Source organism: Homo sapiens, chromosome 1 (genome assembly GCF_000001405.40).
Source record: "Homo sapiens chromosome 1, GRCh38.p14 Primary Assembly".
Lineage (NCBI taxonomy): Eukaryota > Metazoa > Chordata > Mammalia > Primates > Hominidae > Homo > Homo sapiens.
The window spans coordinates 225,889,516-225,902,562 of record NC_000001.11 but is presented as its reverse complement, the minus strand read 5'-3'; the positions used below and the strand labels follow the sequence as shown (position 1 = coordinate 225,902,562).

The window sequence follows — 13,047 nt, the reverse complement described above, 5'->3', positions numbered from 1 at the left end:
ATAAAAGTATGGTTAGTTTTGTAAGAAACTGCCAAACTATCTTCCAAAGGGACTGCCATTTTGCATACCCACCAGCAACGAGTGAGAGTTTCTGTTACTCTGCCTGTTACTTCATCAGTGTTTGATGTTGTCCATGTTTTGGATTTTGGCCATTCTAATAGTTGTGTAGTGATAGTTCATTGTTGTTCCCCACTGACATATTCCTTAATGACAAATGATGGTTAGCATCTTTCTTTTTTTTTTTTTTTTGAGACTGAGTCTCGCTCTGTCACCCAGGCTGGGAGTGCAGTGGCGCCATCTCAGCTCACTGCTGCTAGCTCCCACTCCTGGGTTCACGCCATTCTCCTGCCTCAGCCTCCCGAGTAGCTGGGATTACAGGCGCCCGCCACCATATCCGGCTAATTTTTTTGTATTTTTAGTAGAGACGGGGTTTCACCGTGTTAGCCAGGATGGTCTCAATCTCCTGACCTCGTGATCCGCCCGCCTTGGCCTCCCGAAGTGCTGGGATTACAGGCTTGAGCCACCACGCCCGGCCAATGGTTAGCATCTTTTTTTGGTTTTGTTTTTTGTTTTGTTTTATTTTTTTGAGACAGAGTTTCGCTCTTGTCACCCAGGCTGGAGTTCAATGGCGTGATCTCGGCTCACTACAGCCTCCGCCTCCTGGGTTCAAGCCATTCTCCTGCCTCAGCCTCCCAAGTAGCTGGGATTACAGGCGCCTACCACCACACCTGGCTAATTTTTTGTATTTGTAGTAGAGATGGGGTTTTGGCATGTTGGCCGGGCTGCTCTCGAACTCCTGGCCTCAGGTGATCCACCCACCTCGGCCTACCAAAGTGCTGGGATTACAGGCATGAGCCACCGTGCCTGGCCAGTTAGCATCTTTTTATATGCTTTCTTGCCATCTGTATATCTTCTTTGATGAGGTATCTGTCCAGGTCTTTTGCCCATTTCTTAATTGGGTGGTTAGTTTTCTTATTGTTGAGCTTTACAAGTTCTTCAGGCCAGGCACAGTGACTCACACCCGTAATCCCAGTACTTTTGGAGGCCAAAGCAGGAGGATCACCTGAGACAGGAGTTCAACATGGGCCTGAACCCCATCTACAAAAAATACAAAAATTAGCTGGGCACAATGGTGCACCCCTGTAATCCCAGCACTTTGGGAGGCTGAGGTAGGAGGATCACTTGAGCTCAGGTGGTTGAGGCTGCAGTGAGCCATGATTGTGCCACTGCACTCCAGCCTGGGCAACAGAGTAAGACCCTGTAAGACCCTGCTTCAAAAATTCAAAAAACAAACAAACAAAAAAACACAGAAAAAAAGAGTTATTTGTATATTTTGAATAACAGTTCTTTATCAGATATGTCTTTTCCAAATATTTTCTCCCTGACTGCGGCTTTTCTCATTCTCTTGACAGTGTCTATTTCTTTTTCTTCTTGAAAGGTATAACTGAGGGAATGACAGTGTCTTTTGCAAAGCAGAGGTTCATTTTAATGAAGTCCAACTTTATATCAATTATTCCTTTCATGGGTCAAAAAATGTCATTGCCAAACTCAAGATGATCTATGTTTTCTACTATGTTCTCTTTTTGGAGTTTTATAGTTTTGTGTTTTACATGCAGGTGTATGATCCATTTTGAGTTAATTTTTGGAGAGCTTTGATTAATGGAATATGTTTTCTGATTAAAGTTTGTCACAGACCACTGTTGACTCCGAGGATGGAGAATGCGAGCAGGTGGAGGCAGTTGCAGTTGCCCTGGCAGGTGATGGAGGGTCACGAATGGATATAAAATGTGTTTTCGAAGTGAGACCAAGACACCTGCTGGGGACTGACTCTGAGGGATGTGGGATAGGAAGTATTCAAGAATGAGCCCTGGCCAGGTGCAGTGGCTCATGCCTGTAATCCCAGCACTTTGGGAGGCCAAGGCCGGTGGATCACCTGAGGTCAGGAGTTCGAGACCAGCCTGACCAACATGGTGAAACCCCACCTCTACTAAAAATACAAAAATTAGCCAGGAGTGGTGGCATGCGCCTATCATCCCAGCTACTTGGGAGGCTGAGGCAGGAGAATCGCTTGAACCTGGGAGGTGGAGGTTGCAGTGAGCCGATATCTCGCCATTGCACTCCAGCCTGGGCAACAGAGCAAGACTCTGTCTCAAATAATAATAATAATAATAATAATAATATAATAATAATAATAATAACAACAACAACAACAACAATAAGCCCCAGGGCTGGGTGCAGTGGCTCATGCCTGTAATCCCAACAGTTTGGGAGGCCGAGGTGGGTAGATTGCCTGAAGTGAGGAGTTCGGGACCAGCCAGACCAACATGGTGAAACCCCACCTCTACAAAAATATAAAATTAGCCAGGTGTGGTGGCACACGCCTGTAATCCCAGCTACTTGAGAGGCTAAGGCAGGAGGATTTCTTGAACTCCGGAGATGGAGGTTGCAGTGAGCTGAGATCATGCCATTGCACTCCAGCCTGGGCAACAAGAGCAAAACTCTGTCTCAAAAACCAAACAAAACAAAAACAAAAAACAACAGAATGAGCCCCAGGTCTGGAGACCTGGCTGGGTGTACTGAGATGGGAACAGGTGGCAGTGGAAGGGCATTCGGGTAGATGATTCTGGTGCCCATTGGAGAGGCCAGGCTGGCAGTGGGAGCCCAGGAGGCAGCTGTGAATGACTGGCATGTGAAGTGGCACTTGGTATAGAGGAGAAAAGAGAAGCAGGCTCTTTTCTTGACCTCTGGCTGTTTGTAACACGCAGTTCACACCCTGGGACCCTTCTGGCCAGGGGTTGGAGAGAGGGTAAGACACTATTAATTCACAGGACTGATTGGGTGTGGGCCAGGGCAAGGGAGATCAGTAGGGGCAGACTGAAGGCAAAGCCCCCAGACCTATTATCCCTCTGCAAACAGAGACCTCTTTCCTGAATGTGGATTTCCAATGGGTTCAAGAGTTTTGCTGGGGAAATAAAATAATTGGGCAATCAGCCAGAAGAAAGCGAATGTGGATTGGGAGACTGTTTACAATGGGCTGTTGCATCCTCAGGAGGGAGGGCAGCCCCATCCTTTGTCATGCAGAGGAAGGAGCCTGGCTTCCTAGGCCTGTGGGTGGGTGGGGGTGGGGGATCTGGCTGGTCTGCAGGGTCAGATAGGGCCCAAAAGGCCAGGAATTGTGAAGTCATCCTGAAGCCACATCTGCCATCCTGGAGGGCAGCAGGGGGCAGGAAATGGGAGAACGAGAGGAAGCTCACCACCCCCACTGAGGGCCCAGCCCTGGGACTGAACTTGAGGACATGATGCAGGGAGGAGGAGGAGGACCAGGTAGGAGGGCAGATGAGGAATGGGACCCTGTGCCCTCAGCCACCCTCCTGCCCCTGATAGGCCAGGATGTGACTCCAACCAGAGGCCAGGTTGCCAGGTGAGGGCCATGGGAAAACACAGAGGTCAGAGGTCATCGTGGGGCCTCCATGGGTGGGGATGAGCTGGACTCAGGCCTAGGCTCTGAGGTCAGCAAAGCTAAGAGTCCAGGAGTGGAGTGGCTTCTAATTCGGAGCCCAGCATCTGGGGTCTCCAGGGTGGCTTTTGTCCCCTCCCTGGGCAGGGGCAGACACTACTGAGAGTGCTCAGGAAATACCCCAAGGCCAGTCCAGGTGTCTTGGGCTGCCCCAACCCACACCATCAACCTCCCTGACCCCAGGCCTGAGGGCCCATGTGGCTCCTTGGGGTTTCCAGACATGCCCTGTGTGGGCCCTCCCTGTTGTCCTTGAGTAGCTCAGACTCCCATGGAGGACAGTGGGGAACGAGGCAGGAATAAAGACCCATGTTTCAGGTCATCCAGCCCCTTCCTGGCAAGAGTGAGTTCTCAGTTCAGTCTCCAGTGTGCCACTCACCAGCTGTGTGGCCCTGGACAAGTCGCTGACCCTGCCTCTGATAGGCCGTCCACAAGTCAGTTGGTGAAGCCGGGAGTGGCTGGATTCCGAAAGAAGGCGAGAGAGGACGCTTTGCAGCCAGGCCCCAGTGGTGGCTGGACCTTGTTGCCCAGGATGGCTCCGTGTGGTTGCCTGGCACGCATGTAATCCTCACTGTGCACTCGGGGCATAGATAGAATTGATGCCCCATCTCATAGTCAAGGAAGCTGAGGCACTGGCAGATGATGAATTTGTCCAAGGTCACCTAGCTAGGATTGCTCCTCCCCTGCCCCCCTACAGTGCTCTCGTTAACAATCTGCGACCTCGGGCAAGGATCTTAGATGCTCTGGGCCTCCTTTATGAAATGTCAACAATGCCTTCCTCTCAGGGCATGGGGGACAGCGAAGGAGAAAAGGAGAGGTAAGTGAAGCGAGGGGAGAAACCAGGCTTCCTGAAGGTGACTGTGGAACCAGCCACTGCAAGGGCAGCTCGGGCACCTGTGGGCTCTGGAACTCGCCTTTGCGGAGTGCCTGCCTGGCCCAGGTCCCCACACTGCACCTGTACTTCCTGTTGTTGAGGTTGCCCCTGTCTCTTCAGGTTCATTCAGGATACTGAAAAGGGGCAGAATCATCAACAAATATTTGCTTAAGTAATTGAAAAGAAAGGGAGGCCGGAAGAGGAGCTTATGGAGATGAATGGCTTCTAGAATTTCCTTCTTCAAGGCAAGATTTGAGGACAGGGACTGGTTTATGTGAGTGTTTTCCTTTTTGAACATTTTTTTTTTTTGAGGCAGGGTCTTGCTCTATTGCCCAGGTTGGAGTGTAGTGATGCGATCTCGGCTCATTGCAACCTCTGCCTCCCAGGTTCAAGGGATTCTCGTGCCTCGGCCTCCCAAGTAAGCTGGGATTACAGGCACCCGCCACCACGCCTGGCTGATTTTTTGTATTTTTAGTAGAGACAGGGTTTTACCATGTTGCCCAGGCTGGTCTCGAATTCCTGACCTCAGGTGATCTGCTCACTTTGGCCTTCCAAAGTGCTGGGATTACAGGTTTGAGCCACCGCACCCGGCCTTCTTTGTCATTTCTCAATCCTGGAAAGACTTTTCTTTGAAAAGGGAAAGGAGGTGTTTTTGGATGGAGATGCTGGGAAGTAGCAGCTTTCAGGAGGCGTGGAAGGAGGGAAGTCGAGGCTAAAGTGTCAGCTGTGGAGAGAGTGGCAGGAGCAGCCGTCAATCATGAAATCACTTTTGCTATGGCACAAGGCAGTATGCACGTTTATGCTGCCACAGAGATGTGGTGGAATCAAAACACCGTCTAGGTGTTTTCCCCAACAGGAAGTGGTTCACTGATAGGTGGAGCTGAGGTATGACTTAAGCCACAAAGAGAACAAACAAACCAAACTTCACTGCATGAGCCTGGGCAGCTGGGGGCAGCTCCCTACACACAGGGCAGGCCTGGATCTAGGGAGATTGGGAAGCCAGTGGCACCTACTTCATCTGCCAGGGGACAACTTGCTTCTGTTGCTGCCAGCACTGGGTGGTGTTGAAACGCTGGGCTGGACTGTGGTCGCTTAGGCAGCAGACAGACTTCCCAATGAGGCCCTGGGGCTAGGAGGGCAGAGTGTTGGTGGGATAGGTCCCTGAATATAGGGGACACAGGTCCTCTTATAATTTCCACCTACAGCTCTCTGCATGCCTGAGGGTATTTCCTGAAAAGTTTGTATACAATGACTGCAAATAATCAAAATGAGTAACTGTAGAAGAAAATCGGAGGTGTAAATATTAGAAACGAGGAGCAGAATTATCACTATTAATTAGCAAATGACTTTTTTCCTTCCCACAAAAGCAAACAAATCCATCTCTACACACTCTACTTCTGCATGGTTTTGAATTTTAAACAAATGGAATCGTATTCATCTTTCATGTCTGGCTTCTGTTCAATGTTCTGCTTGTGACATTTGCCAATGTTGTAGACAGTTTCGGTTCATTTTCTTTGCCATAAAGTATTCCATAAGACTATACTACATTTTATTTGTGCTTTACAGTGTCGATGGATATTTTTGGTGAGTTGCTTCAGTTTGGACTCTTATAAACAATGCTGCTGTATCATCAATCTTATGCATGCATTTCTGTCCAACTGAATGAAATGACTGTGCCTTTTTTCTTTCTTTTTTTTTTTTTTTTTGAAATGGAGTCTCACTCTCTTGCCCAGGCTGGAAGTGCAGTGGCGTGATCTCGGCTCACGGCAACCTCTGTGCCCCACCCCGCCACGGGGGTTCAAGTGATTCTTCTGCCTCAGCCTCCCGAGTAGCTGGGATTACAGGTGCCCATCGCCACACCCAGCTAATTTTTGTAATTTTAGTAGAGATGGACTTTCACCATGTTGGCCATGCTGGTCACGGACTCCTGACCTCAGGTGATTGGCCCACCTCGGCCTCCCAAATTGCTGTGATTAGCGGCGTGAGCCACTGTGCCCGGCCCCTTTTTTGTTTTTAAGAGACAGGGTCTCGCTCTATTGCCCAGGCTGCTGTATTGCAGTGGTGCAATCATGGCTCATTGCAGCCTCGAACTCCTGGGCTCAAGCAATCCTGCCACCTCAGCCTCCCGAGTAGCTGGGAGTACTACAGGTGTGTGCCACCATGCCTGGCTGATTTTTTTTATAGTAGAGATGAGGTCTTGCTATGTTGCCCAGGCTGGTCTTGAACTCCTGGCCTGAAGCCATCCTCATACCTCAGCATCCCAAAGTGTTGGGATTATAGGCATGAGCCGTGGTGCCTGGCCATTGGGTCTTAAGTTTACCTGGTATCTTGAACTGTAGTAAATACTGCCAAGTTCTCTAGTGTGGTGTAGCACTTTACGCTCTCACCAGTGATATCTGAGAGTTCTCACTGCTCCAGATATTCATCAAATTGGTTTTACTCAACATCCATTATATTATTATTATTATTATTATTATTATTATTATTATTTAGAAATAGGGTCTCACTCTGTCACCCAGACTGGAGTGCAGTGGCACAATCATAGCTCACTGCAGCCTTAAACTCCTGGGTTCAAGTGATCCTCCTGTCTTAGCCTCCTGAGTAGCTAAGTGCACACCACCACACCTAATTTAAAAATGTTTTTGTAGAGATGGGGTCTTGCTATGTTGCCCAGGCTGGTCTTGAACTCCTGGCCTCAAGCAATCCTTCTGCCTTGGACTCTCAAAGTGCTAGGATTTAAGGCATGAGCCACCATGCTTGGCCCGTTCTCGATTTTTTTTTTTTTTTTTTTTTGAGATGGAGTCTTGCCCTGTCGCCCAGGCTGGAATGCAGTGGTGCGATCTTGGCTCACTGCAACCTCCGCCTCCTGGGTTCAAGCAATTCTCCTGCCCAGCCTCCCAAGTAGCTGGGATCACAGGCGTGCGCCACTACACCCAGTTAATTTTTGTATTTTTAGTAGACACGGGGTCTCACTACGTTCGTCAGGCTGGTCTCGAGCTCTTGACCTCGTGATGCGCCCGCCTCGGCCTCCCAAAGTGCTGGGATTACAGGTGGGAGCCACCGCGCCCAGCCCGTTCTTGATTTTTAAAAAATTCTATTATGGATACTTCGTTAACATGATAAAATGTATTTAGCTCAACCGTAAAGCTCATACTCAATGGGGAAATAGTAAAGGAGTCCTATTAAAACCAGGACAAAACAATGCTATCCATTATCATCACTTTTATTGAATATTGTTCTAGAAAAACTACTAAATGGAGTTAGACAATAGAAAAAAAAATTCCAGAGGAATAAACTTTGAAAAAGAGGAATTAAATTATTAGTAGCAAATATTAAGATTTTGTACCTAGAAAATGCAAGAAATCAACTAAGAACTGTTAGGTACAATAAGAAGTTCCAGTAAAGTCTTCTATGCACCAATTTTGAACTCACTTTACTGGAATGTCTTATTGTTTGTAAGAAGTTTGAAGAGGACTTCTATGTACCAATTGGTACCACAGCCTGAAATCTTCAGGCTGGGCACAGTGGCTCATGCCTGTAATCCCAGCACTTTGGGAGGCCTAGGCGGGTGGATCACTTGAGGTCAGGAGTTCAAGACCATGAAAACCTGTCTCTACTAAAAATAAAAAATAGCCAGGTGTGGTGGTGTGTGCCAGTAATCCCAGCTACTCAGAGGCTGAGGCAGGAGAATCACTTGAACCTGGGAGGTGGAGGTGGCAGTGAGCAGAGATCGTGCCACTACACTCCAGCCTGGGCGACAGAGCGACTCTGTCTCAAAAAAAGAAAAAGAAAAAGAAATCAAGTCTTTAATGACACAAATAACACTTAAGCAGTGTGATGGTATAAAAAAATCCCATCTTCAATACAAATGAAAAGCAAACTACCCAGGAGTTGATTTAACAAGTTATTTATAAGATGTTTTAACAAGTTATATGTAAGACATAAGACAAACCATGAGGAAAGGCAAACTGTGTTCTTAGATGAGAAAATGCCAGTGCTTCCTAATCTGTGAATTTAACATAATTCAATAAAAACATTAGAGTATGACAAAAAAAAAAAACAGCATAAACAAAGTATAAAACACAAATTATACATGGGAGAAATATTTGCAATGCATATAACAGAGAAAAGGCTAATGTCCCTGATATATAAAGTGTCTACATATCAATAAGAAAAAACAACTCAGTAGAAAATTGACACAAGGTATGAACAAACAGTTCTCAAAAACAGAAATATAAGCTGAGCATGATGGCACACACCTATGTTCCCGGCTTCTCCAGAGGTTGAGACAGGAGAATTACTTGCACCCAGGAGTTCGAGACCAGTCTGGGCAACACGGCAAGACTTCCTCTTTACAAAGCATAAAAAATTTTGGCTGGGCACGGTGGCTCATGCCTGTAATCCCAGCACTTTGAAGGGGCGGAGATGGGCAGATCATCTGAGGTCAGGAGTTCGAGGCCAGCCTGGCCAACCTGGTGAAACCCCATTTCTACTAAAAATACAAAAATTAGCCGGGCGTGGTGGTGGGCACCTGTAATCCCAGCTACTTGGGAGGCTAAGACAGCAGAACCTCTTGAACCCTGGAGGAGGAAAATCTCTTGAACCTGGGAGGTGGAGGTTGCAGTGAGCCGAGATCCTGCCACTGCACTCCAGCCTAGGCAACACAGTGAGACTCTATCTCAAAATAATAATAATAATAATTCAGCTGGGTGTGGTGGTGCACATCTGTGGTTCCAGTTACTCGGGAGACTGAGGCGGGAGGATCCTTTGAGCCCAAGAGGTTGAGGCTGCAATGAGCTGAGATGGCACCACTGCACTCCAGGCTGAGCAACAGAGTGAGACCTTGTCTCAAAAAATAAATAAATAAAAATAAAATAAAAATGTGCAGATGAGGAACAAAAAGAGACTGACATTCTTCCATATTCCCTTTCCTATCTTTTGAAAGTTGTGCTATTTGTATTAATTACAAACAAAAACAAAAACAAGGCCGGGCGCGGTGGCTCAAGCCTGTAATCCCAGCACTTTGGGAGGGGGAGACGTGCGGATCACGAGGTCAGGAGATCCAGACCATCCTGGCTAACATGGTGAAACCCCGTCTCTACTAAAAATACAAAAAAATTAGCCGGGCGCGGTGGCGGGTGCCTGTAGTCCCAGCTACTCGGGAGGCTGAGGCAGGAGAATGGCGTGAACCCGGAAGGCGAAGCTTGCAGTGAGCCGAGATTGTGCCACTGCACTCCAGCCTGGGCGACAGAGCGAGACTCCATCTCAAGAAAAAAAACAAAAAACAAAACAAAACAAAACCAAAAAAATTCAGTTTCAACACCAGAGGACAAAAAAGAAAAAGGAAACAAAATAAAAAGAAAAAAAGAAAAGAAAAAAGAAAAAAAAGAAACAATGTTAACACACAATTTAAAAAATTTAAACATTTAAAAAATTACTAACAGTATAAGAGACTCCTACTATTTATTGGTCACCTAGTGTGTACCAAGAGGGTGTGCTAGGCACCCTGTAGACATCTCAATTAATACAAACACTGCAAGAAAAATACATTATTCCCATTTTATAGGTGGAAACGTATTGTATTGAAGAATGTGGAAAACCTGCCAGTGGCTGGGTGTGGTAGCTCACACCTGTAATCCTAGCACTTTGGGAAGCCAAGGCAGGAGAATGGCTTGAAGCCAAGAGTTCAAGACCAACTTGGCCAACATAGTGAGACCCCCGTCTCAGAAAAAAAAATTTAAAAATATGACAGGGCGCGGTGGCTCATGCTTGCAATCCCAGAAGTTTGGGAGGCCGAGGTGGGCAGATCACCTGAGGTCAGGAGTTTGGGACCAGACTGGCCAACATGGTGAAACCCCCGTCTCTACTAAAAATACAAAAAAATTAGCCAGGCATGGTGGCGGGTGCCTGTAATCCCAGCTACTCGGGAGGCTGAGGCAGGAGAATCTCTTGAACCCAGGAGGCGGAGGTTGCAGTAAGCCAAGATCACACCATTGCACTCCAGGCTGGGCAACAAGAGCGAAACTCCATCTCAAAAAATAAATAAATAAATAAATAAGAATAATATTAAAAAATTAATTTGAAAAAGTAAAAGAAAACCTGCCAGAGGCCACACAGCTAGTAAATGTGAGTGGCATAGCAAGGTTTGAACTCACTCTTGCCAAGAAGGGTGTCATGTTGGACCCCCAAGCAGGCAAGCTGGGAGGGCACCACCTTGGAGAGACCAAAGAAAAGACCCAGAGACAGCAGGCAAGACATGAGCTTTATTCAAGGGACTTACGCACAGGGGGAAGTCCAGGAGCGGCAGGCTGGACAGGAGCAACCGCTGCCATTTGTGAAAAGTGTGCAGGTCATGTAGAAACCTTCACATTGCAACATTTGTTTGTTTGGTTGGCTTTTTTTGAGACAGGGTCTCACTCTGTCGCCCAGGCTGGAGCGCAGTGGTGCAATCTCGGCTCACTGCAACCTCTGCCTCACAGGTTCAAGCGCATCTCCTGTCTCAGCCTCCTGACTAGCTGGGACTACAGGCGTCTGCCACCAAGCCCAGGTAATTTTTGTATTTTTAGTAGAGTCGAGGTTTTGCCATGTTGGCCAGGCTAGGCTCCAATTCCTGACCTCAAGTGATCCGCCCACCTTGGCCTCCCAGAGTGCTGGGATTATAGGCGTGAGCCACCACGCCCAGCCCAAAACCACATTGCAACTTCCATCTAGCAACCTCTACTTAGCAGCCTCCACCTACCTCAAAACAATGGACCTCTGTTCCTTGTACAGCCTGTGTTCCAAGTAACAGGCCAGGGGCCTGACATTCTTCATAGTTAAACATAATTAAACATCCAGGTTGGCCGTTCCCACGGTCCATAGCCTGGAACACTGAACAAACATCACCAAGGGACAAAGGGTCCTTCCCAGGCCATGCTTGAGTTGTTGCTGTCTGGCAAGATGTGCCCACCACACAAAGGTGCTGGATGAACTGAAACGGGTCCCTATTCCTGGTTTGTTTCCCACCCTCCTCAGCCCAGACAGAGCCCCAGGGAAGGACCCCTGATGATGCCAGAGTCTGAGCTACTTTGGGAGAACAGGAAGTGCCCACACAGGGGGTGCCTGGAACCACCAAGGAGCCACATGGGCCCCCAGGCCTGGGGTCAGGGAGGTTGATGGTGTGGGTTGGGGCAGCCCAGGACACCTGGACTGGCCTTGGGGCATTTCCTGAGCACTCTCAGAAGTATCTGCCCCTGCCCAGGAAGGGGGCAAAAGCCACCCTGGAGACCCTAGATGCTGGGCTCTGACTTAGAAGCCACTCCACTCCTGGACTCTTAGCTTTGCTGACGTCAGAGCCCAGGCCTGAGTCCAGCTCATCCCCATCCATGGAGGCCCCAGGATGACCTCTGACCCCCATGTTTTCCCATGGCTCTCACTTGGCAACCTGGCCTCTGGTTGGGGTCACATCCTGGCCCACCAGGGGCAGGAGGGTGTTCGAGGGCAAAGGGCCCCACTCCTCATCCACCCTCCTACCTGGGCCCCCTCCCCCTCTCCCCAGTATGGCCAGACCACTGCCCTCCAGTGCCCTTAGCTCTGGGCCGAGGGCCAGGTCCAAATGTGCTCTGAGTCAGGGTAGGGATCACTCATTCCCTTGCCCCGCTCTCCTCCCTTAGATAGAAGATCTGGTTCTGGGGCCACTTTACCATCTCAAGCCCAATCTGGGCAGACCCAGGTGGGGATGGTTGGGGAAGCCAGGCTCCGTCTTCTGCATGACAAAGGGTGGGGCTGCCCTCCCTCCTGGCAACACTTCAGACCATTGTAAACAGTCTCCCAATCCACATTTGTTTTATTTTTCGTTGTCAGATCTAGCAAATAAAAATATAGGACTCTGGTGAAATTTGAATGTCAGGTAGACAATGAATAATTTTTTTGGTATAATTATGTCCCAAATAGTGCCTTGTATTTTATCTGGTAGCCCTACCCCTGGCTGATCACCCAAATGTTTTATTTCCCCAGCAAAACTCTTCAACCAGCTTACAAATCCACATTCAGGATAGGGGTCCTCTGTCTTGGGGGATTGTCCCCCTGCCCCAGCCTAGACCTGATCACCTGGATTGAGACCACCTGGCTCCCTTTAGGGCATAGATCAAAACTAGGCTGTAAATAATTTGAGTGTGCCAAGAACTTTGTGAATTGCAAGACCTGACTTTATATGGACATTGATCATTAACTTTGTGAGCTTCGGGAAGTTGACACCTCTGAGCCTCGGTTTTTTTTCAGCTCAAAAATTGGGAGAGGTTGCCGTGAGCCGAGACTGCGCCATTGTACTCCAGCCTGGGCAACAAGAATGAAACTCTGTCTCAAAAGAAAAAAAAATTGGGGGAGAAGGTAGCCTGGATATTCCTTTCAACTCTAAACTCTAATTCTGTGAACAGCAGGGATGAGGGAGAGGATGAGGCTCCTTCCTTATTGGACAAAACCCCGTTGGAACTAAATGCTCCTAGGCTCCCTTGCCTAGGAAGGTCCCCCCAGAACAGTGGGAAATCTGGTTTCACAACTGGGGACCACCAGCTCAGGATCTCATGAGGCCCCGGGACCCTCTGAGCACGGGCCCGGATGCTCATCCCTGCAGACTGGATTGGCCCTTAGAGCCCTGGCGTTGCCTGAGCCATTCTGGTTC

General features: G+C 48.4%; 11 annotated features.

The window, feature by feature from the left end:
- Positions 1,718-2,480: an enhancer, noted in NCBI's record as "H3K27ac hESC enhancer chr1:226087783-226088545 (GRCh37/hg19 assembly coordinates)". NCBI's record gives its function as "activates a minimal SCP1, AML or CMV promoter by ChIP-STARR-seq in primed H9 embryonic stem cells {active_cell/tissue: H9 hESC(primed)}" and the evidence as "EXISTENCE:reporter gene assay evidence [ECO:0000049][PMID:30033119]".
- Positions 2,481-3,243: an enhancer, noted in NCBI's record as "OCT4-NANOG-H3K27ac-H3K4me1 hESC enhancer chr1:226087020-226087782 (GRCh37/hg19 assembly coordinates)". NCBI's record gives its function as "activates a minimal SCP1, AML or CMV promoter by ChIP-STARR-seq in primed H9 embryonic stem cells {active_cell/tissue: H9 hESC(primed)}" and the evidence as "EXISTENCE:reporter gene assay evidence [ECO:0000049][PMID:30033119]".
- Positions 5,130-5,239: an enhancer, noted in NCBI's record as "active region_2635". NCBI's record gives its function as "activates an Ori minimal core promoter by ATAC-STARR-seq in GM12878 lymphoblastoid cells {active_cell/tissue: GM12878}" and the evidence as "EXISTENCE:reporter gene assay evidence [ECO:0000049][PMID:35858748]".
- Positions 5,380-5,589: an enhancer, noted in NCBI's record as "active region_2634". NCBI's record gives its function as "activates an Ori minimal core promoter by ATAC-STARR-seq in GM12878 lymphoblastoid cells {active_cell/tissue: GM12878}" and the evidence as "EXISTENCE:reporter gene assay evidence [ECO:0000049][PMID:35858748]".
- Positions 5,380-6,296: a biological region, named in NCBI's record as "H3K27ac-H3K4me1 hESC enhancer GRCh37_chr1:226083967-226084730".
- Positions 5,533-6,296: an enhancer, noted in NCBI's record as "H3K27ac-H3K4me1 hESC enhancer chr1:226083967-226084730 (GRCh37/hg19 assembly coordinates)". NCBI's record gives its function as "activates a minimal SCP1, AML or CMV promoter by ChIP-STARR-seq in primed H9 embryonic stem cells {active_cell/tissue: H9 hESC(primed)}" and the evidence as "EXISTENCE:reporter gene assay evidence [ECO:0000049][PMID:30033119]".
- Positions 10,397-11,112: an enhancer, noted in NCBI's record as "H3K27ac-H3K4me1 hESC enhancer chr1:226079151-226079866 (GRCh37/hg19 assembly coordinates)". NCBI's record gives its function as "activates a minimal SCP1, AML or CMV promoter by ChIP-STARR-seq in naive H9 embryonic stem cells {active_cell/tissue: H9 hESC(naive)}" and the evidence as "EXISTENCE:reporter gene assay evidence [ECO:0000049][PMID:30033119]".
- Positions 10,397-11,830: a biological region, named in NCBI's record as "H3K27ac-H3K4me1 hESC enhancers GRCh37_chr1:226078433-226079150 and GRCh37_chr1:226079151-226079866".
- Positions 11,080-11,374: a silencer, noted in NCBI's record as "tiled region #2218; K562 Repressive non-DNase unmatched - State 8:EnhW". NCBI's record gives its function as "represses a minimal TATA promoter and a strong SV40 promoter by Sharpr-MPRA in K562 cells {active_cell/tissue: K562}" and the evidence as "EXISTENCE:reporter gene assay evidence [ECO:0000049][PMID:27701403]".
- Positions 11,113-11,830: an enhancer, noted in NCBI's record as "H3K27ac-H3K4me1 hESC enhancer chr1:226078433-226079150 (GRCh37/hg19 assembly coordinates)". NCBI's record gives its function as "activates a minimal SCP1, AML or CMV promoter by ChIP-STARR-seq in primed H9 embryonic stem cells {active_cell/tissue: H9 hESC(primed)}" and the evidence as "EXISTENCE:reporter gene assay evidence [ECO:0000049][PMID:30033119]".
- Positions 11,831-12,548: an enhancer, noted in NCBI's record as "OCT4-NANOG-H3K27ac-H3K4me1 hESC enhancer chr1:226077715-226078432 (GRCh37/hg19 assembly coordinates)". NCBI's record gives its function as "activates a minimal SCP1, AML or CMV promoter by ChIP-STARR-seq in primed H9 embryonic stem cells {active_cell/tissue: H9 hESC(primed)}" and the evidence as "EXISTENCE:reporter gene assay evidence [ECO:0000049][PMID:30033119]".